At 44.1% G+C, this 24,060-nt stretch overlaps 1 protein-coding gene and 1 pseudogene across 8 annotated transcripts in view; both read left to right on the top strand.

Moving 5' to 3' along the window:
- POFUT3 (protein O-fucosyltransferase 3) overlaps nt 1–24,060 on the top strand; it is a 165,086-nt gene that overhangs the window by 17,707 nt on the left and 123,319 nt on the right. For all 8 annotated transcript variants that reach the window (XM_011544677.4, XM_011544676.4, XM_047422325.1 and 5 more), the window contains one exon: nt 1,930–2,224. In XM_011544677.4, the coding sequence (XP_011542979.1) occupies nt 1,930–2,224 (295 nt within the window). The remainder of the gene's footprint in view (nt 1–1,929; nt 2,225–24,060) is intronic.
- LOC100507379 (RNA binding motif protein 4 pseudogene) lies at nt 18,659–19,372 on the top strand (annotated as a pseudogene).

Below are 24,060 nucleotides of genomic sequence, written 5' to 3'. Positions count from 1 at the left end.
TGATCCTCTGGTCTCAGCCTCCTGAGTAGCTGGGACTATAGGTGTATGCCACTGTGCTCAGCACAATACCAAATCTTAAAATTTGATGAAAAGGCAGCACTTCTGGAGTTTCTGCTACACTCACCCTGCCCTCCAGATGACTGTTACTGATGTCCAAGCTGTCCAGTGACCCAGACTTAGACTATCCTGGAATAAATTTAAAAATGTGGTTCTAAGTGGGAGTAAGTGGAAGCCCAGTACTCATGGTCTACTATGTTGGTAACATAGACTCTAGGGAATTTTGACATTAGGTATTATTTCACTATCTCAGTGCTATAGTGAGTATTATTAGAAACATAAAACCCATGTTATGACTACTTTAATTGTAATAAAAAAGAAACCAGTTGATAATTTATAACTCATTTTCCCTAGAGTGCATTCTCTAGTAGTAGTCAGGTAATTATCCTGTCATAGGTTTCATTAAGAGGCAAAACTGGCTGGGCGTGGTGGCTCATGCCTGTAATCCTAGCACTTTGGGAGGCTGAGGCAGGCAGATCACGAGGTCAGGAGTTTGAGACCAGCCTGGCCAATATAGTGAAACCCCGTCTCTACTAAAAATACAAAAAATTACCTGGGTGTTGTGGCTGGCACCTGTAATCCCAGCTACTTGGGAGGCTGAGGCAGGAGAATCACTTGAACCTGGGAGGCGGAGTTTGCAGTAAGCCAAGATCGCGCCACTGCACCCAGGTGACAGTGCGAGACTCTGTCTCAAAAAAAAAAAAAAAAGAGGCAAAACTATTTCTGGATATCCTACAGACTTATGAAATGGAAGGGAAATGTATTTGTTCTAAGTGTTTAGTAGAATCGTTGGCCATTCTTGTTGGTTGATATTTGGAGGCTGTGTCCACTCCCTGATCCCTGAAACCTGTGAATATGTTACTTTAGGAGGCAAAAGAGACTTTGCAGATGGGATCAATGTGACCCACTTTGAGGTGGGGGGATTATCCCAAATTATTCATGTGGACCCCATGTAATCACATGAGTTCTTAAAGATGGAGAGCCTTTCCTGACATGGTCAGAGAGAAGAGGTGATATCAGAAGAGTCAGAGAGATGCAGTGTTGCTGGCTTTGAAGAGGAGGAAGGAGGCCATGAGTCAAGAATGGTGGTGGCTCTAAAAGAGAAACAAGAAAGAGGCTTCTCTCCTAGAGTCTTCAGGGAGGAATGCAGCCCTGCTGACCCCTGGGTCTTAGCCCAGTGAGACCCATTGCAGACTTCTGACTTCAGAACTGTGTGATAACAAATTTGTGATTTATTGATTGATTGATTGGTTTTTGAGACAAGGTCTTGCTCTGTTGCCCAGGCTGGATACCATTGGTGCAATCATAGTTCACTACAACCTCTAACTTCTGGGCTCAAGCAATCCTTCTGCCTCAGCCTCCTGAGTATCTGGGATTACAGGCATGCATCACCATGCCCGGCCAATTTTTTTTTCTTTTCTTTTTTTTGACATGGAGCTTTGCTCTGTTGCCGAGGCTCAAGTGCAGTGGCGCGATCTTGGCTCACTGCAACCTCTGCCTCCCGAGTTCAAGTGATTCGATTCTCCTGACTCAGCCTCCCAGGTAGCTGGGATTACAGGTGTGTGCCGCCACCATGCCTGACTAATTTTTGTATTTTTTAGTAGAGTCGGGGTTTCACTATGTTGGCCAGGCTGGTCTCAATCTCCTGGTCTCAAGTGATCCTTCCACCTTGCCCCCCTGACGACGCACTGAGATTACAAGTATAAGCCAGTGCACCTTGCTTAAATTTGTGTTATTTTAAATTACTGTTTGTGGTAATTTGTTACAGCAGCAATTGAAAACGAGTCAGGGGCTAAATCATCAAGATTAATGAGAGATGTGCAAAAGGAAATCAAACAGTTTGACACTGATAATAATTGTCTTCTCTTTTAGGTCATGGTTGAGCTGGGGAAGTTTGAAAGGAAGGAGTTTAAAAGTTCCAGTTTGCAAGATGGACATACAAAAATGGAGGAAGCACCTACGCATCTTAATTCATTTCTTAAGAAAGAAGGATTGACCTTCAACAGGAAAAGAAAATGGGAATTGGACAGCTACCCCATTATGCTCTGGTGGTCCCCGCTGACGGGGGAGACTGGGAGGTTAGGCCAATGTGGAGCAGATGCTTGTTTCTTCACCATCAACCGGACCTACCTCCATCATCACATGACCAAAGCATTCCTCTTCTATGGTAAGCAGGACTTTCGCCTTTCTCCCTTGTTTGCTGTGGTCTTCCTCCAAAGCTGAGTTACAGTTTACCTCTGAAAAGTGATGGTGGAGCTCCCCTTGAAAACACTTTGACACCCCTGATTTCCTTTGCATTTGCTCTGTGGAAGGCCTGAGCATTTAGCAGACACAAAAAAGAAACAAGCCTGGCCGGGCGTGGTGGCTTCTGAATTCTCTAACACCTGTATCTCTGAAGGGTTGGATAAGGGATTATGATCTTCTAGTTGTGCTTTGAGATGAAGCAAAGTTAAATGTTGAGTTTAATTTCCCAAATTGTAGCAGAAGCTTCTAGAAAGATTTCCATTACATTCACAAAAAATATAGATAATATAATGGGCATTTATGTACCTATCACATAGCTTAAGGCATAAAATATTACATGTATAATTGAAAATCTGTATGAGTCCCTCCCTGACCGATCCCATTTCCCTCCCTGATACTCTAGAGGGAATCATGATTGTGTGTGTGTGTGTGTGTGTGTGTGTGTGTGTGTTTGTGTAACAATCTAAGTATGTTATTTAGACAAATAGGAGTTATATATACATGTGTGTTAAAGTTTTTTAAATGTTTAAAACTTTTAAAAAAGTTTTTTAAATGTTTAAATGTTTTAAACGTTGACCGTGGTACAACCACTTTAGATATTGGTTTGGCAATATCTAGTAAATGTGAATTCATACTTAGTAATTCCACTACTAAATTTATAACCGCATGAAATGTCACATATATACATGGATTGTTCATTATAGCATTGTTCATCATAAGTAAAGCTTTTAAAGTAACCTAAAGGTCCAATAACAGAAAAATGATTAAATAAGTGTAATATAGAAATTCAGTGGAATACTATGCAATGATGAAAATGACTAGAGCTGTGAGCATGTAACTTTGATAAACCTCAAAACTAAGTTACAGATAGAAAGTTACATATAACACTACTCTACATTGTTTATGTTATTGTTAGAAATCTGTAGTAGAAATTTATTTAAGAATATGTGATGCTACTCTAGGGAAAACAAGTTGTACACACGTATACATACATAAACACATGCCTACACATACACATATATATACACACACACATATATATATACATATACATACACATATATACATGCATATATACACACGTATATACTGATATGGTTTGGCTGTGTCCCCACCCAAAATCTCATCTTGAATTGTAATCCCCATAATCCCGATGTGTCAAGGGTGGGACCAGGTGGAGGTAACTGGATCATCGGGCTGTTCCCCCATGCTGTTCTCATGATAGTGAGTGAGTCTAATGAGATCTGATGGTTTTATAAGCATCTGGCATTTCCCCTGCTGGCACTCACTCCATCCTGCTGCCCTGTGAAGAAAGTGCCTGTTTCTCCGTTGCCTTCTGCCATGATTGTAAATTTCCTGAGGCCTCCCAAGCAATGCAGAACTGTGAGTCAATTAAACCTCTTTCCTTTATAAATTATCCAGTCTTGGGTATTTCTTCATAGCAGTATGAGAATGGACTAATACAATATACATATATGTATATATATGTTCATACACATATACACGTATACACACATATATACACATATACACATGCACACACACATACACATATGTACACACATACATATATACACATACATACACATTTATGCATACATATGCATATGCATATACATATGTACACACATATACATCTACATATATGCATATATGCATATACACACACATATACATACACATATACACATGCACATATATACACACGTATATACACACATGTATACATGTACACATGTATATACATACATACACTTACATACATACACATACTGTAATTTATATATACATATACAGATTGAGCATCCTAAATCTGAAAAATTTGAAATCTGAAATGCCCCCGAATCCAAAACTTTCTGAGCACCAACGTGATGTTCAAAGGAAGTGCTTATTGGAACATTTTGGATTTCAGAATTTCATATTTGGGATTCTCAATGGTATAATTCAGGTGTTCCAAATTAAAAAAAAATCCAAAATCTAAAAAACTCCTGGTCCCAAGCATTTCTGTTAAGAGATACTCAATCTGTATGTATGTACATGTATGTGTACACACACACACACACACACACACATACACCTCCTTTGTGTGTACTGTACTTTTTTTTTTTGCTCCTCTCTCCCTTCTCTGGAAGCATATAGAATCTTCTCTGTTTCACCAGTTTGGAAATTTAGTAATAACTGCTTTGGTGTGGGTCTGTCTCCTTTTACTGAAGTGGGAACGTAAATGTCTGGTTGCCAGGAAGCCTACAAAACAGTCTTTAACTTGGTGACTTTTTTGGGACTCACAGATCTACAGAGTCATGCACTTAATTTTGTCAGTACACTTAAGAGTTGGTTTTTCTGTCTGGGATGGACTTAATCTCCAACCAAATTCCAAGGAGACTTCTGGTTTGACCTTCTATACCTCAGATCCTGTTACTCTCCAGTGCCCAAAACTATCAGTGACTCTCATGGAGAACCGAATCTATGCTGTTTATTACCTTGGCATTCAAGGCTCTGTGTAATCTGACTCCAACCTACCTTCCAAGCTCAACGCCTCTGATTCTACCAACTAAACCTTACATTCAAAAGTCAAACTGGAATAGTCCCCATTTGAGGCATAAGTCAGAAATATTCCTAACTTAGCACCATTGTTCATATAGTTCTATGTCCTAGATTGTCCTTTTCGTATTTGTCCTGTCAGAATAATCTACTGAATACCTTCCATTTATTTGGCAATATAGATGAATAATATAGTTTCTGATGTCAAAGATTATTATCTTGAGAAAAAGATATGACCCAACTGTAATGCAGGGGCAAATGGTACGTGTACCACGAGAGAAAAGCCAACAAGTCTTTGTGGGGTTTCAAAGACAGGAGAGAGCACCTACTATTGGAAGGATCAAGAAAGGCTTCATAGGCCGGGCACAATGGCTCATGCCTGTAATCCCAGCACTTTGGGAGGCCAAGGCAAGTGGATCACCTGAAGTCAGGAGTTCAAGACCAGCCTGGCCAACATGGTGAAACCCCGTCTCTACTAAAAATACTAAAAATAGCTGGGCGTGGTCATGCATCATGCCTATAATCCCAGCTACTTGGGAGGCTGAGGCAAGAGAATCACTTGAACTTGGGAGGTGGAGGTTGCAGTGAGCCGAGATTGCACCACTGCACTCCAGCCTGGGAGGCAGAGTGAGACCCTGTCTCAAAAAAAAAAAAAAAAAAAAGAAAAGCTTCATAACCCCTCCTTTAAAAAGTAAGAAATTTGAATTTGAAGTGGGCCTTGAAGGATATTGGGGTTGGATAACGTTGAGATTGGAGGATATTTCAGTATGAAGAACAGCATGAATGGAGGCATGGAGGAAAACAATTACAAGTAATATCTGAGGTACATCAAGCAGAGTGGTTGGCTATAGCTTAGTTCTGGGTAAGGGAAAGATAAAGATTGAAGGACATATTGGGACCAGAGCTTGGAGAACCTTCAATGTTGGCTTAAGATTTTTCCATCACATCATAGGATGGTGTTGAGGAGTCAGTCCCTGGAGTTAAAACCACCTTTTAAAAGTCAACTCAGGCCAGACGCGGCGGCTCACGCCTGTAATCCCAGCACTTTGCAAGGCTGGGGTGGGCAGATCACCTGAGGTCAGGAGTTTGAGACCAGCCTGGTTAACATGGTGAAACCCTGCTTCTACTAAAGATACAAAAATTAGCCAGGTATGGTCATGGGTGCCTGTAATCCCAGCTACTCAGTAGGCTGAGGCACAAGAATCGCTTAAACCTGGGAGGAGAAAGTTGCAGTGAGCCAAGATCGTGTCATTGCACTCCAGCCTGGGTGACAGAGTGAGACTCTGTCTCAAAAAAAAAAAAAAAAAAAAAAAAAAAAATCAACTCGGATATAACACCTACAAACCATTCCTGATTCCTCTCCATCAGATAAAGCCCTTCTTCTCTCAGTGCCCACAGAGCATTTTGTATGTCCTTTATGTCATTTCATTGAGTACTGTATATCAGGCACAGTGCCAATCATGAGGAATACAGAAGATAAATAAGGCAGCTATGGCGTTTGGTCTTATACTGTATGACCTTCTCTTCCCTAGTGCAGTGTAGAGTTCACGATAGACAACATCAATTCATCTTTGTTCCTCCTCCCACCCACTGTATATAGCGCACTGCTTTGTACACAGTAGGTGCTCAGAAAATATTCTTAGAGACTTAGAGTCTTTTTTTTTAAGATGGAGTCTCATTCTGTCACCCAGGCTGGAGTACAGTGGCATGATCTCAGCTCACTGAAACCTCCGCCTCCCAGATTCAGGCGATTCTCCTGCCTCAGTCTCCTGAGTAGCTGGGATTATAGGAGTGCACCACCATGCCTGGCTAATTTTTGTGTTTTTAGAAGAGACAGGGTTTCACCATGTTGGCCAGGCTGGTCTTGAACTCCTGACCTCAAGTGATCCACCTGCCTCAGCCTCCCAAAGTGCTGGGATTACATGTGTAAGCCATCATGCCCTGCCGAGACTTAGAGTCTTTATGAATAGAGAGACCCATTCTAAACCCGAGAGTCTACCTTCTTTTTTGTAAAGGTGAGAGACTGAGGCTCAGGAGTGTTAGGGATGTGCCAAGATTGCAGTGGTTAGTACCATTGCAGTACACCAGTGGAGAACCAAGGTGTACTGACTCCTGACTGTGTGCTCCTTCACCTAGACCATATTTGTTTTTTGTTTGTTTTGGAGACAGGATCTCACTCTGTCGCTCAGGCTGGAATGCAGTGGCATGATCATAGCTCACTCCATCCTCCAACTCCTGGACTCAAATGTTGGTTTAAGACTTTCCATCACATCATAGGATAGTGTTGAGGAGTCACTGGAGTTAGAATAACCTTTTGAAGGACAAAAGGCTACTCCCTTTTGTCCTGCCTCAGCTTCCTGAGTAGCTGGGACTACAGGTGCTTGCCGCCATATCTGGCTAATAAAAAAAAATTTTTTTTTGTAGAGACGGGGGTCTCATAATGTTGTCCAGGCTGGTCTTGACATCCTGGGCTCGAGCAGTCTCTCTGCCTCGCCCTCCCAAAGTATTGGGATTACAGGTGTGAGCCACTGTGCCTGGCCTAGACCATATTTGAATAGACACTCATGACCATAATTAAACCTGAATATTTGGGTCTTGGAATTGCCTAAGGTGCCTGGTTTTTAACAAACAGAATTAGAAATTCAATTTATTTATAAGGTCTATTGAGCAAAACAGAATGAAGACAACACACTCTTCTGTCTGAGTGTTCCAAATCCTAATTAAGTAGGTCAATTAAAACTGCAAATGGGATTCTGGGGCAGCAGTATTGAAAAAGAAAATGCTGAAAAAATGATGGAAGTATCAAAAGCTGACCTAATTAAGGATAAAGGAAACTCACAGGATTATGTGGCCTGGAAGCTTTTGCAAACATTTTACATTTTAAATTTTGTTTGTTACCTTTGTAACCTCCTTGTTTTTCCTTCTTCCTAGAGATGAATCATTTTCTGAATATAAACACGTTTCTGGAGGTACTAGTTAAAGACTTTAAGCAGTGAAATATGCGAATACTGTGTCTGGTTTGAGTCTTTGAGAAATGCAAGGATTTAGCTACATTAACAATTCTCTAGCCACCACTGAAGGAGTTATTTTTTTTAGACTAGTTTATTGAAGTGAGGAGGAAAAGAATAAAGTTTTTTTTTTTTTCCTTTGAGATGGAGTCTTGCCCTGTCGCCCAGGCTGGAGTGCAGTGGCACGATCTCGGCTCACTGCAAGCTCCGCCTCCCAAGTTCACACCATTCTCCTGCCTCAGCCTCTCGAGTAGCTGGGACTACAGGCACCCGCCACCACACTTGGCTAATTTTTTGTATTTTTAGTAGAGACGGGTTTTCAGTGTGTTAGCCAGGATGGTCTCGATCTCCTGACCTCGTGATCCTCCCACCTCGGCCTCCCAAAGTGCTGGGATTAACAGGCTTGAGCCACCGCGCCCGGCCTGGAATCACTGTTGTAGTCCTCCATGACCCGATGTGGTAGAGAGCAGGTGTTCTGGTTGAAAAGGTCTCCCGAGCGATGAAGTATCTCTCCATACACCATCTATGGATGACGAATTCCCAGAGGCTTGTAATGAAATACATTAAGAAAAACTGAGAGCAGACCTAGTCGATGCTTCCTTTGTTTCAGAGGATGCTTCGGGATTTCTCAGTGCCTTCATGTGATCACGTGTAATTAAAAAGAGAGGCACACCCAGGAGGGAGCCTGACTGTTCAGGCAGGGCCTCTCAAGGGTCAGACCTCTGCTGCAGTCCTCATTCTTCAATATCTAGTCAGTTTTTTCAGTTCACAAAGAATCAGTAAAACTTTAATGAACCGAATGGCATTGACCTACATAGGAGATTCATGCTTATAATAAAAAACCAACTTGTTGGTGTCTTTGCATGGGAACAGGAGTACTGATGTTTATTGCTCAGGGTACCTAGTCCTGATGATCAGGTTAGACAGAGAATGGCATTAGAATCATGAGGTTGCTTAGTGAGCTTAGAATTACAGTAAACACTTGAGCAATGGACCATCCAAGAAATGAGAAAGCCTCATTAGCTTCCTTTGTCCCTAACAAAGGAGCAGTAATAATGATCACTGTCATTAATTGGTACCTACTCTGTGCCAGGCGCCAAAGGACACTGTCCAAGTATTTTTTTTTTTTTTTTGTAATAGGATCTTGCCTTGTCACCCAGGCTGGAGTGCAGTGGTGTGATATCGACTCATTGCAACTGCTGCCTCCTGTGTTCGAGAGATTCTCGTGCCTCAGCCTCCTGAGTAGCTGGGACTACAGGTGTGCGCCACCACACCTGGCTAATTTTTGTATTTTGAGTAGAGACGGCATTTCACCATGCTGGCCAGGCTGGTCTCGAATTCCTGACCTCAAGTCATCCACCCACCTCGGCCTCCCAAAGTGCTGGGATTACAGGCATGAGCTACCGCACCTGGCCACCAGTTGTATCTTTTTGCATTCCCCAGCTCAGACCCCTTCCCCACTGGAAGGCTGCCATGGTCTTTCTGCTCTATACCCTTTCCTGGTTCCTCTTCTCCCTCCCTCTCCAGCTGCTTTCTGGAGCCTGTCAGAGTTGCAGTGAGGACAGGAAGGAGAATGAAGGCACAGGACATTTCTTAATTGGCTGGGTGGCTTTATGTCCTCTGAACCTGGCAGGTGGTTGGAGCTGGTGTCTTTGGGTGGGTCTGGTAGGTGATGCAAGTGAACTTTTTTTTATTCTGAGGTGGTTTCTGGCATTTGAAATTTCCTTGCTGGACTTGTTGCTTTTATAGTTTCTTTTCCTAGGAAGCTGCATCTCTGCTGTGGGTAGTCATATGGGACAGCTTCCCAGCACCTGGCATTTTGCAGACCACAGCCAGCTTCTTTCTGCAGAGGTCTCTGGTCTCTATGTCCTCATGGTTACTTTGGAATCTTGATATCTGTCCTTTTAGTTCCATCTCAACATTCAGTTCTAGAATGGCTCTTTGGAGGGTCACCATTTGCCAGGCCTCTTCTGTGTTGGAGAAACACAGAAAAGGAACAAGTACAGTCCAACATGATTATATCACCATTGATGGGATAGCAACCTTGAAAGATTTCCTTATACCGCCACCCCTGGTCATCTTGTACTGGGTGTCTCCTAAGGCTTCATGAGTGACATATCTATGACCCATTCTCAGGAGTAGAGATTTCTGCTGATCTCATCCATTTCATGTTGATTCTTACTAGTTTTTTTCTCCAGAGGTTAGCTTTATTTTGGAAACTGTGTATTGAATGTAGATAGTAGGTAATTGTCATTTATAGTGTGCCAGATTTAAGACTTTTTTGGGAAGTGGCAAAGAAATGGGCTTAATTAGAGTGTTTGGCAGTAATAAAGTTGGACATAAAAATGAAGGTCATGGCTAGGCGCAATGGCTCACACCTGTAGTCCCAGCCCTTTGGGAGGCCAAGGCAGGCAGATTGCTTGAGCTCAGGAGTTTGAGACCAGCCTGGACAGTATGGCAAAACCCGGGCTCTACAGAAAATACAAAAATTAGCTGGGCATGGTGGTGCGTGCCTGTAGTCCCAGCTACTCTGGAGGCTGCAGTGGGAGGATTGCTTAAGCCTGGGAGGTGGAGGTTGCAGTGAGTCGAGATTGCACTATTGCACCCCAGCCTGGGCAACAGAGTGAGAACCTATCTCAAAAAAAAAAAAAAAAAAGATGAAGGTCATAACTGAACAATAGATTTTATATATATCTGCTCCAATAAGATACCTTGTTTAAAATAGACATCCATTTTTATTTAAATAAATAATAGTAATTATTATTATTTTTTGGGATGGAGGCTCACTCTGTCATCCAGGCTGGAATGCAGTGGCGTGATCTCAGCTCACTACAACCTCTGCCTCCTGGGTTCAAGTGATTCTCCTTCCTCAACTTCCTGAGTAGCTGGGATTACAGGCACACGCCACCACACCTGGCTAATTTTTGTATTTTTAGTAAAGACGGTGTTTCCCCATGTTGGCCAGGCTGGTCTCAAACTCCTGACCTCAGGTGATCTACCTGCCTTGGCCTCCCAAAGTGCTGGGATTGCAGGTGTGAGCCACTGCGCCCGGCCCAGATAATTATTTTTACAGTATTTGACATAAAGTAATCCAGCCTGGGGGTTCTCTCAGGCTCCTCCAGTGACCCCACCTCATTCAAGTCCCTAGTCCTTATGGTAGCCTGCGAGCACACACGTTCTGCCCATGCTTATCCCTTACCGTCCTCCTTGTTCCTCCTCCCCATGCTGCTCTGCTCGCAGCCCTCAGACATGGAAGCATTTTCCAGCCCCAGAATCTTTCACTTGCCATTGCTCCAACTGGGGTGCATTTCTGGCTTACTCCTTTACACCGGTCAGATCTGTGCCCAGATGACATTTTCTCAAGGCGATCTCATCCTCTCCTTCTCTCTGACATAGTGCTTCCCTCCCTCACCACTCTGAGGACATAAACCCCTGCCGTATTTTCTTTCTTCATAACCCTTATCACTCCCTGAAGCCCTCTTACTCCTTTGGTGACTGGTTTATCAGTTGTAGGAACAGGGACTTTGCTTTGTTCATTGCTATAGCCCTACTGCTTAGAACAGTGCCTGGCATATGGCAGGCCTCAGTAGACATTGCTTTTCTTTAAAAAAAAAAAAAAAAAAGCTTGTAGAAATGAGGTCTCACTGTGTTGCCAAAGCCAGTCTCAAACTCCTGGCCTGAAGTGCTTCTCCTGCCTCAACCTCCCAAAGTGTTGGGATTACAGGCATGAGTCCCCATGCCTGGCCAGTAGACATTGTTGAATAAATGATTGCATGCATGAAACTGGCCTAAACCTAGGCCTGATGTAGTGGCTCATGCCTGTAATCCCAACATTTTGGGAGGCTGAGGAGGGTGGATCACTTGAGGTCAGAAGTTCGAGACCAGCTGGCCAAGATGGCAAAACCCCATCTCTACTAAAAATACAAAAAATTAGCCAGGCATGGTGGCAGGCATCTGTAGTCCCAGCTACTCAGGAGGCTGAGGTGCAAGAATCACTTGAACCCGGGAGGCAGAGGTTGCAGTGAGCCAAGATCGTGCCACTACACTCCAGCCTGGGTGACAGGCCAGACTTTGTCTCAAAAAAATAAATAAAATAAAGCTGAGAAATCAAAACATAGCACAGTAAGCATGTTATTTAGATATTTTTGAAGTATGAATACAGATGAAACACCTGAAAGCGTTGGAGCAGTGAGCTCTGGCCTGTGAAAATCGGGAGTAGGGATGAAGCAGGACACTGCTGTCTTATGTTATAGGCCTGAAAAAATGATTTCACTTTAAAGCTCTGTGCAGGTATTAATTTGATATAAGTGAAAATTTAACTAACAAAGACATTTCGTCTCAGGAGATAGTTACGCAGAAAGGTGGTAATAAAATTATTAATAAATGATGTAATTCCTAGGCTTCTTTGTTTTACAAGATAACTTTTGGGAAATTTTAATTATGTAAAGACATAATTCTTTCTTTCTTTTCTTTTTCGTAGGCAGGTTCTGGCTCTGTCACCTAGGCCGCAGTGCAGTGGTGTGATCTTGGCTCACTGCACCTTCTGCCTCTCAGGCTCAACTGATCCCCCCATCTCAGCCTCCTGAGTAGCTGGGACTATAGGCACACACCACCACACCTGGCTAATTTTTGCATTTTATTAGAAATGGAGTCTTGCCATGTTGCTAAACATTATGGGGCTCACCAAAGCCTGTGTCCTTATACCAAACTAAATCTAGCAAAACCTTATGAACTTACATTTTTAGCTGGAAAGATTAAAAATCAAATATTAATATGTCATCTTTTCATGGAAGGAAATGAGTATTATAGCTATAGGAAATATTAATATCTTGCCAGGAATGGTGGCTCATGCCTATAATCCCAGCACTTTAGGAGGCCAAGGCGGGCAGATTGCTTGAGCCCAAGAGTTCGAGACCAGCCTGAGCAATACAGAGAGACCCACATCTCAAAAAAAAAAAGTGGCTGAAAATCTGGTAGCCTTTTTTTGGTTAAGAAGTGACAGATGAGGCCAGGTACAGTGGCTCATGCCTGTAATCCCAGCACTTTGGGAGGCTGAGGTGGGCGGATCACAAGGTCAGGACATGGAGACCATCCTGGCTAACATGGTGAAACCCCATCTGTAACTAAAAAAATAATTAGCTGGGTGTGGTGGCAGGCGCCTGTAGTCCCAGCTGTTTGGGAGGCTGAGGCGGGAGAATGGTGTGAACCCGGGAGCTGGAGCTTGCAGTGAGCTAAGATCGCACCACTGCACTCCAGCCTGGGCGACAGAGCAAGACTCTGTCCCCCCCCAAAAAAAAAAGAGAAAGAAAAAGAAGTGACACATGAGGCCTGGCGTGGTGGCTCATGCCTGCAATCCCAGCACTCTGGGAGGCTGAGGCGGGCAGATCACAAGGTCAGGAGTTCGAGATAAGCCTGGCCAAAATGGTGAAACCCATCTCTACTAAACAAAAAACAAAAAACAGAAAAACAAAAATTAGCCGGGCATGGTGGCATGCGCCTGTAATCCCAGCTACTCAGGAGGCTGAGGCAGGCGAATCGCTTGAATCCAGGAGGCGGAGGTTGCAGTGAGCCAAGATCGTGCCACTGCACTCCAGCCTGGGTGACAGAGCAAGACTCCGTCTCAAAAAAGAAAAAAAATAGAAGTGACAGGTGCCCAAACCTAAGCACTTCCCCTCTGGCTGGCATTGGGAGGCAGGGCACAGATTTCACTACTGCAGCTACAGCAATTGAGGCCTTTGGAAATGATGGCCCCCATCCAGGTCTAGGCATATTCTCCGACCCACAGAAATCCTCTGAGATGTGCGTGCAGCTCCATTCTGCAGAGCAGACAACTATATCTCTCATAGGCATGCAGAATAAAACCATGTAGCTTTAATTGTGTTTTTCTTTGCTGTCAAAAATTAAAACAAGGCTGGGTGCAGTGGCTCGTGCCTGTAATCCCAGCACTTTGGGAGGCCGAGGAGGGCAGATCGGTTGAGCTCTCGAGTTTGAGGCCAGCCTGGGCAGCATATGGAAACCCCATCACTACAAAAAATACAAAAATTAGCTGGGCATGGTGGTGCACACCTATAGTCCTGGTTATTCCAGAGGCTGAGGTGGGAGGATTGCTTGAGCCTGGGAGGCAGAGGTTACAGTGAGCCAAGATTGTACCATTGCACTCCAGCCTGGTCAATAGAGCCAGACCTTGTCTCAAAAAAAAAAAAAAAAAAAAGGCAGGAAAAAATATTAAAACAACTTAAACTTGCATTTTTTTTTTTTTGAGATGGAGTCTTGCTCTGTTGTCCAGGCTGGAGTGCAGTGGCATGATCTCGGCTCACTGCAACCTCTGCTTCCCGGGTTCAAGCGATTCTCCTGCCTTAGCCTCCTGAGTAGCTGAGATTACAGGCGTGCACCACCATGCCTGGCTAATTTTTGTATTTTTAGTAGAGATGGGGTTTCACCATGTTGGCCAGGCTGGTCTCGAATTCCTGACCTCAGGTGATCCACCCACCTCGGCCTCCCAAAGTGCTGGGATTACAGGCGTGAGCCACTGTGCCCGGCCAGAACCATTTATTTATATATATTTTATTTTACAAATTTTACAGTCATAGTTTGATATACCTTATCTAGATTGTTCTAGGGCACAGATTCGAGTCCCCTGGCCTTTAAGAAATGTGAGTGCCAGAGAGTCACTTGCCCACTGTTGAGAACCAGTGTCTATTTCTCAACCAGCTTTGTGTTATATACTTTTTGCATATGTTGGAACTCCCTTGAAATATTAAAAATTTTGCTTACTAGTGAAAAAAATGACCCCTCAGAAGGAAGTCAACTACATGTACTGATCATGGAAATGAAGACAAAAGTCAAGTGTTTTAAAATAGCAGTTTATTAGGCAGCAGATAGCAATGTAAATAGATTAAATTGTAGAACATTGGACTAACTTGATGGTTTGCATCTGTGTGAAGTGGTTCACGTGACTCCATTTTTTTGAAGAAATCATATGCTGTAATAGTTATGATTTGGGATAATTTGAGGGTGTCTCAGGAGGTATCCCTTGCTACTGTCAGAGTCTGTGCTTTATTCATTTATACAACTGGCATCTAAAAACCTATTATGGGTTAGGTGCGGGGGGGTTATAGTGGCAAAGAAAACAAGCTCTGCCTTCATGGAGCTCATGAGATATGTACACAGCATGCCACCAGACAGGGATGAGCATTTTGACTTTAATTAATTAATTAATTAGTTTCTTGAGAGAGGGTCTTGCTCAGTTGCCCAGACTGGAGTGCTGTGACATGATCATAGCTCACTGCAGGCTGGAACTCCCAGGCTCAAGAAATCTTCCCACCCCAGCCTCCTGAGTAGCTAGGACTATAGGCGCATGCCACCATGCCTGGCTAATTTTTAATTTTTCACAGAGACATGGTCTCAATATGTTACCCAGGCTGGTTTTGAACTCCTGAGCTCAAGTGATCCTCCTGCCTCAGCCTCCCAAAGTGCTGGGATTACAGGTATGAGCCATCAGGTTCTGTCGCATTTTGACTTTAGACAGAGTGATCAGGGAGGCCTCTCTGAGGACCTAACATTTGAGGCAGAGACTTGAAGAGGAAGCAGTTTGAAGGTGGAAGGAAGAGAAAGAAGGCAGCATGAGATGAGATTTGAATGGGAGTCAGGAGCCAGGCCATCAGGGTTTCATCAGACAGGGTGGGAAATTTGGATATATTCTTTTTCGTTTTTTGCTTTTTTTGAGACAGAGTCTCACTCTGTCACCCAGGCTGGAATGCAGTGGCGCGATCTTGGCTCACTGCAACCTCCGCCCTCTGAGTTCAAGCAGTTCTCCTGCCTCAGCCTCCCAAGTAGTTGGGATTATAGGTGCCTGCCACTGTACCTGACTAATTTTTTGTATTTTTAGTAGAGACGGAGTTTCACCATCTTGGCCAGGCTGGTGTTGAATTCCTGACCTTGTGATCCACCCACCTCCGCCTCCCAAAGTGCTGGGATTACAGGCATAAGCAACCGCGCCCGGCTGAAGTTAGGATATATTCTAAGGGCCTTGGGAAAATATCGGGAGGTTTTAAGCAGGGGTGATATGATCTGATTTTTATTTTGTTTGATTCTGATTTATGCTTTAAAAAGATACCTCTGACTTTCCCACGGAGAACAGATTAGAACAGGAACATGGAAACCACACAGTTTCTTTCTTTCTTTTTTGAGACTAAGTCTTACTCTGTTGTTCAGGCTGGAGTGCATTGGCATGATCTCGGCTCACTGCAACCTCCGCCTCCCAGATTCAAGCGATTCTCCTGCCTCAGCCTCTCGAGTAGCTGGGATTACAGGCACACGCCACCATGCCCGGCTAATTTTTTGTATTAGTAGAGATGGGGCTTCACCATGTTGGCCAGGCTGGTCTTGAACTCCTGACCTGAACTGATCCACCCACCTTGGCCTTCAAAGTGCTGGGATTACAGGCGTGAGCCACCACTCCCAGCTGCAAAACACAGTTTCTATTCAATAAGTGGAAATGATGGTGTCCTGGATTAGGTTGAGATGCAGAGCAGAAGGAAGTGGTAGCTTTGAGATGTGATTTGAAGATAGATACTATGTATTTTTTGTGGGTGATATGGTTTGACTGTGTCTCCACCCAAATCTCTCTTGAATTGTAGCTCCCATAATTCCCACGTGTTGTGGAAAAGACCCAGTGGGAGATAATTGAGTCATAGGAGCGGTTTCCCCCAGACTGTTCACATGGTAGTGAATAAATCTCACAAGATCTGATGATTTTATAAGGGCTCTCATTCTCTCTTGTCTGCTTCCCCTTTCGCTCGGCTCTCATTCACCCCTTTCACTTGGCTGTCATTCCCTTGCCTGCCACCATATAAGACATGCCTTTCGCCTTCCACCACGATTGTGAGGCCTCCCCAGCCATGTGTAACTGTGGGTCTATTAAACCTCTTTTTCTTTATAAATTACCCAGTCTCGAGTTTGTCTTCATTAGCAGTGTGAAAACAGACTGGTACGGTGTGGGGGAGGAACAAGGTCTTGCTCTGTTATCCAGTCTGGAGTGCAATGGTGCAAACAATGCTCACTGCAGTTTCAACCTCCTGTGCTCAAGCAATCCTCCTGCCTCAGCCTCCTGAGTGGTCCATGCCTGGGACTACAGGCATGCGCCACCGCACCTGGCTAATTTTTAATTTTTTTTGTAGAGACAGGGTCTCCCTATGTTGCCCAGGTTGGTCTTGAACTCCTGGGCTCAAACGATCCACCTACCTTGGCCTCCCACAGTACTGGGATTACAGGCATGGGCCACTGCATCTGGCCAGAATCTATGTCTTGCTGATGGCTTAGTGGTATCTGTTTTCATATATACAGGTGTATATATGTACTAAAGAATAATTAACTGTGCTTATTTATTTAACCCCTTGACTTTTCAGATGCTTTGTTCAACCTCATGTTATCAATTTAACACAACTGTGATGCATAAACAACCTAAATGCAATTATTCATTTCCTTCCTAATGGGTATAAAAACGTCAGTAAATTATTGATCACAAAATATTTTGCTTCCATAGGCATGTAAATATTTAATCCTTAAGGTAATTGACATCTACATATTTTACCTTCCTGAGTACAGGTGTCTAAATTTGACATCAGATCATTGATAACTATATATTTTGGTTGCATGTGAGGACCAGTGAAAAAATTTAAGTGTGCAACTGGTAGGCAGTCATATAATTCACAGCCCAAAACTTTATATCTAGAAATGTAAATACAAATTCCTTAGACTCCTTTTTTTTTTCTCTTTTTTGAGATGGAGTCTCACTCTGTCACCTAGGCTGGAGTGCAGCGGATGATCTTGGCTTACTGCAACCTCTGCCTCCCCTGTTCAAGCGATTCTCCTGCCTCAGCCTCCCAAGTAGCTGGGACTACAGGCATGCGCCACAATGCCCAGCTAATTTTTGTGTTTTTAATAGAGACAGAGTTTCACACTGTTGGCCAGGCTGGTCTCAAACTCCTGACCTCAAGTGATCCTTCTGCCTCAGCCTCCCACAGTGCTGGGATTACAGGTGTGAGCCACCATGCCCTGCCTTCAGACTCCTTTTTTAACTGATGAAGCCATTTAATCAGTAAATCTAGAAGAAAAACATCCAGAGGCATTTATATGGTTTTTTTTTCCCCTCCAATAAAAGTGTCTTGAAAGCTGGCAGTCTGCTTTTTTTTTTTTTTTAATTTGTTATTTTAACTGAGCCTCTGCTGTGTGACCGATGCTTCAGTTCTCTCTGTCTTAGCTAGGGGAGTTCGAGCTCCATTATGGGTACAGTGCTAGGGAAGCAAGAGTGAGGGGGAAGGGAAGTGATGTTGGAAAGGAAGAAAAAGGATGTAATGCACTCGCATGTTCATCATAGCACTGTTCACAAGAGCAAAGACATGGAATCAATCCAAGTGCCCATCAATGGAGGATTGGATAAAGAAAATCTTCATATACACCGTGGAATACTACACAGCCATAAAAAATAGCAAAATCATGTCCTCCACAGCAACATGAATGCAGCTGCAGCTGGAGGCCATTATCCTAAGCGAATTAGAATTAATGCAGGAGCAGATACTGCACGTTCTCTCTTATAAGTGGTAACTCAACATAGGGTACCCAGGGACATAAAGATGGCAACATTAGACACTGGGGACTACTAGAGGGGAGAAGGAGGGAGGGGGGAAAAGGTTGAAAAGCTGTTGGGTACTGTGCTCAGTACCTGGATAACGAGATCATTCATACCCTAAACTTCAGCATCATGCACATGGACATCCTGATTCTAAAATAAAAGTTGAAAAAAATTGGCCGCTATTTTAGCGTTTTGTCAGAAGCGTCCGTGCTGCAAGGAGGAGGCCCTGCTGATTTCTGTGCTAGCTGTGGTCAGGATGGTGAAGCTGTTCATCGGAAACGTGCCCTGGGAGGCTACACAGCGGGAGATTCGCTCACTCTTCTAGCAGTATGGGAAGGTGCTGGAATGTGGCATCATTAAGAATTATGGCTTTGTGCACATAGAAGACAGAACTGCAGAGGAAGATGCCATACGCAACCTGCACCATCACAAGCTTTATGGGGTAAACATCAGTGTGGAAGCCAGCACGAATGAGAGCAAAACCTCAACCAAGTTGCATGTGGGCAACATCAGTCCCACCTGTACCAATAAGGAGCTTCCAGCCAAGTTTGAGGAGTATGGTCCAGACGGTCGTTGAATGTGACATCATGAAAGATGATGCCTTCTTACACATGGAGCGGGCAGAGGATGCAGTGGAGACCATCAAGGGCCTTGATAACACAGAGTTTCACAGTGGGATGTGTGTGGGCTGAAATTCCGAGCTGTTGTTGTGCATGAGAATACACCCTTCGTGGTACCCAGTCTCTGGGACGTTCTCGGCTTGGTGCATTCAGTCCCTTAGGAACCGTGGACCTTAATTTACCTTGCTAAGTTGAGACCTTCTCTTCCTTTCCTTTCCTCTCCTGCCCATTTTCCTGTTCTTCTGTCCTTCAGTACTTCTGTAGCTTCCCATTCATGTTCTGTTCTCCCAGCAGGCCTCATTGTGTGCAGAAACTGTGGTGGGGGCTGTGCTGTCTCCTCCCTGCCTCCTGCAGCTGTTGGATTTGGGAATGACTGTGGCAAGAGTCTCACTGCCCCTGGGTCTTTTTTTGGTCCAAAGGCTAGACCTATAGAGTTGATCACTTTTTTTTTCTCTCCGGTGAGATAAATGGTTTTTCAACTTTAAAAAAAAGTTGAAAAAAAATATATAAAAACAAAATTAGGCCGAGTATGGTGGCTCAGGTTTGTAATTCCAGCACTTTGGGAGGCCGAGGTGGGTAGATCACCTGAGGTCAGGAGTACGAGACCAGCCTGGCCAACATGGTGAAACCCCATCCCTACTAAAAATACAAAAATTGTCCAGGAGTGGTGGCACACACCTGTAATCCCATCTACTCAGGTAGCCGAGGCAGGAGAATTGCATGAACCAGGAGACAGAGGTTGCAGTGAGCCAAGATCATGACACTGCACTCTAGCCTGGGTGACAGAGTAAGACTCTGTCTCAGAAAAAGAAAAAAAAGTTGCCTGGGCGCGGTGGCTCACGCCTGTAATCTCAGCCCTTTGGGAGGCCGAGGTGGGCAGATCATAAAGTCAGGAGTTTGAGACCAGCCTGGCCAATATGGTGAAACCCCATCTCTACTAAAAATACAAAAATTAGCCAGGTGCGGTGGTGTGTGCCTGTAGTCCCAGCTACTTGGGAGGCTGAGGCAGAAGAATCACTTGAACCTGGGAGGTGGCAGTTGCAGTGAGCTGAGATCACGCCACTGCCCTCCAGCCTGGGTGACAGAGCAAGACTCCATCTCAAAAAAAAAAAAATTAAATTAAAAACTAAATAAAATTAAGCAAGATATGAATAAATTATGAGTAAAATATTAAAAGAAAAAAGCATGTAGATGGCAGTTTCACCAGGGAGCATAGTCATGAGAAGTCTCTGGAAAGGAAACATGTCTTGGATGGGGAGGAATGAATAAGAAAATATTTTTCAGTTACTCCCTGTCTCCTTCCTGTTGTTGATTGATCAAAGTTTGCCCCAGCACTCTGGGTCATGTTATTTTGTTCCTTGGACAGCCACTGGGAAAACTAGAGCCAGTGACAGCATCTGCACCACTAGCCAGTGAGCCAGTGCACCTGCACCTGTGCCCAGCCAGCCTCTTGTTATCTGGTGGCAGTGGCAGGGAAGACCCCAGGAGGCAACAAGGCCCTGTGAGGCGATGTGGGAGTCCTCGGGGAGCGAGGAGCTGCCCTGCAGTGGCTTTAGCAGGGGTGGAGGTGCACATCAGTGAGCCTCGCTCTAGGGAGGGTTGGAACCTCCTCTCTGGGGCCATAGCTGATTCCAGGTGGTCCTCCTGGAGTCATCAGCAGCACTGAACCCAAAGCCGAGGTCTGGTGCCCTGCTAAGGGGCTGTCTCCAGTTCTACAGTGGGGCACGAGTGATCATGGGAAGGGGAAAAAAGGTAATAGCTTTTATGCTTATTTGGTTTGTTTTTAAAGAACCCACAGAGCTGTGTTAAACACTAGGTCCTAGGTAGCAGGGTCATGAAAGAGCAATCAGTAGTGGCCTTCCCATTAGCTTGCCTTTCCATCATGCCCTCTGGGACTTCCTTTCTGTTCCACACTTTGGGAATATGGGAGTGGGAGGGGTGCCTTGGTGGGGGATGGAAAGAAAAAGCTAGGAAGAGCAAAGACAAGATGAATAAGAGAATCAGATTCAAGAGGGTCCTGCAAGTAAAATGCTTAATGTGGACCTGCTGCAGGGCAACTTTTGCTTTTTTGTTTTTGAGATGGAGTGTTGCTCTGCTGCCCAGGCTGGAGTGCAGTGGTGTGATCTTGGCTCATTGCAACCTCTGCCTCCCAAGTTCAAGCGATTCTCCTGCCTCAGCCTCCCGAGTAGCTGGGATTACAGGCATGCGCCACCACACTCAGCTAATTTTTGTATTTTTAGTAGAGACAGGTTTCACCATGTTGGCCAGGCTGGTATCGATCTTCTGACCTCATGATCTGCCTGCCTCGGCCTCCCAAAGTGCTGGGATTACAGGCATGAGCCGCTGCACCCGGCTTTTTTTTTTTTTTTATGACAGTGTCTTGCTCTGTTGCCCAGGCTAGAGTGCAGTGACACAATCTCAGCTCACTGCAGCTTACACCTCCTAGGCCCAAGCGATCCTCCCACTTCAGCCTCCCAAGTACCTGGAACCACAGGTCCATACCACCATGCCTAGTTAATTTTTTAAATTTAGTTTTTTGTTTTTTTTTTTCCCGAGACTGAATCTTGCTCTGTCACCCAGGCTGGAGTGCAGTGGTGCTATCTTGGCTCACTGCAATCTTTGCCTCCTGAGTTCAAGTGATTCTCCTGCCTCAGCCTCCCAAGTAGCTGGGATTACAGGTACCTGCCACCAAGCCTGGCTAGTTTTTCAATTTTTTTTTTTTTTTGAGACGAAGTCTCACTCTATCGCCCAGGCTGGAGTGCAGTGGCACAATCTCCCCTCACTGCAAACTCTGCCTCTCTGGTTCATGCCATTCTCCTGCCTCAGCCTCCTGAGTAGCTGGGACTACAGGCGCCTGCCACCGCGCCTGGCTAATTTTTTGTATTTTTAGTAGAGACGGGGTTTCACCGTGTTAGCCAGGATGATCTTGAACTCCTGACCTCAGGTGATCCACCTGCCTTGTCCTGCCAAAGTGCTGGGATTACAGGCATGAGCCACTGCGCCCAGCCTCACATTTAGTTTTTGTAGAGATAAGGTCTTCCTATGTTGCCCAGACTCTGCAGGGCTATTTTTGAAAAGAATGATTAATGAATGATTTTTTTTTTTGAGACTGTCTCACTCGGTTGCCCAAGGTGAAGTGCAGTGTTGTGATCTTGGCTCACTGCAATCTCTGCCTCCTGGGTTCAAGTGGTTCTCCTGCCTCAGCCTCCCGAGTAGCTGGGATTACAGATGTGTGCCACCGTGCCCGGCTAATTTTTGTATTTTTGGTAGAGATGGAGTTTTGCCATGGTGGTCAGGCTGGTCTTGAACTCCTGACCTCAGGTGTTCTACTTGCCTCGGCCTCCCAAAGTGCTGGTATTACAGGTGTGAGTCACTGTGCCTGGCCTCAATGAATGATTTTAAGTACTTCTATATGCTACAAGAAAATTTATCAAAATTTAAAGGAGCAGTGCAAATTTCCTTTGAAGAGCTTACTTAGACCTTGGTTATTTTATCATCCTGAAAATTCCTTTATAATAAAAAATGCATGTGGAATTAGTTAACATATTTTAATATATCTTTTTGATAGCTAAATATTTCTATTTGGTTGCACATTTTAATGTATTCTAGCACTATAATGTTTAGTATATTCAGGCCTTTATATAAGCAGCATATTTGGGCTTTCTGTATAGCAGGTACTCTGATGTGGAAAGAGCATTGATTTGGAAGTCAGAATATCTAGGTTTGAGATCCAGCTCTAATACTAGTCATGTAACTGTGAACAATTCACATAACCAATCTAGCATTCCCAAATCTAAATGTACATGTGAATCACCTGGAAAAATTAAAAGAGACAGCATTTTGTTTCTTACCCATACCAATAGGAATGAGGCCTGGGAACTTGTGTTGTTTTTTATTTTTACTTTTTATTTTACTTTTTTTTTTTTTTTGAGACAGAGTCTCGCTTTTATTGCCCAGGTTGGAGTGCAGTGGTGCGATCTTGGCTCACTGGAACCTCCACCTCCCAGGTTCAAGCAGTTCTCCTGCCTCAGCCTCCCGAGTAGCTGGGATTACAGGTGCCCATCATGCCTGGCTAATTTTTGTGTTTTTAGTAGAGACGGGGTTTCACCATGTTGACCAGGCTGGTCTTGAACTCCAGACCTCATGTGATCTGCCCACCTCGGCCTCCCAAAGTGCTGGGATTACAGGCGTGAGCCACCGTGCCTGGCTGTATTTTACTTTTTAAATAGAGACAGGGTCTCACTATGTTGCTCAGGCTGGTCTCATACTCCTAGGCTCAAGAAATCTGCCCACTTCAGCCTCCAAAGTGCTAGGATTATAGGCATAAGCCACTGTGCCAGGTCCCCAAATTTGTGCTCTTTATGAAGCTTCCCAGGAGATAATGGTGTGGTCCCTCAGAGGGAATGTGTTGGGGACAGCTCCTAGAAGATCTCTTAAGTGGTTTCCACTGCTAATATTTATGACTAAATATAAAATCTCTAAGCTTCATCATGGGAATTTGTAGATGTATCTTTGGTTTTATCTCTTGTTATTGCTCATATATGCCTATTATTTATTTGGTGTTAGCCTTGATTGGTAAAAAAAAATCCAATTACAACATGATGCCTTTGGGAATATATAATCATCTTTAATACATCAGCCCTGTAACAAAGTTTCCAAGAATGTTTTGTGTTGAAATTGGAAAACTGTTTGTAATCAAGAATGTGAATTTTGATGATTCCTTCAAAGGAATTATGCAATTAGGATATTCTTTTTTTTTTTTTTTTTTTTTTTTTTTTTTTTTTTTTTTGAGACAGGGTCTTGCTCTGTTGCCCAGGCTGGAGTCCAGGGGCTCAGTCTCAGCTCACTGCAACCTCTGCCTCCCAGGTTCAAGCAATTCTTGTGCCTCAACCTCCCAAGTAGCTGGGACTACAGGTACATGCCACTGTGCCTGGCTAATTTTTGTATTTTTTGGTAG

The sequence above is a fragment of the Homo sapiens genome, chromosome 8, assembly GCF_000001405.40.
Source record: "Homo sapiens chromosome 8, GRCh38.p14 Primary Assembly".
NCBI classification, from domain to species: domain Eukaryota; kingdom Metazoa; phylum Chordata; class Mammalia; order Primates; family Hominidae; genus Homo; species Homo sapiens.
This window is presented reverse-complemented; position numbering and strand designations above follow the sequence as displayed.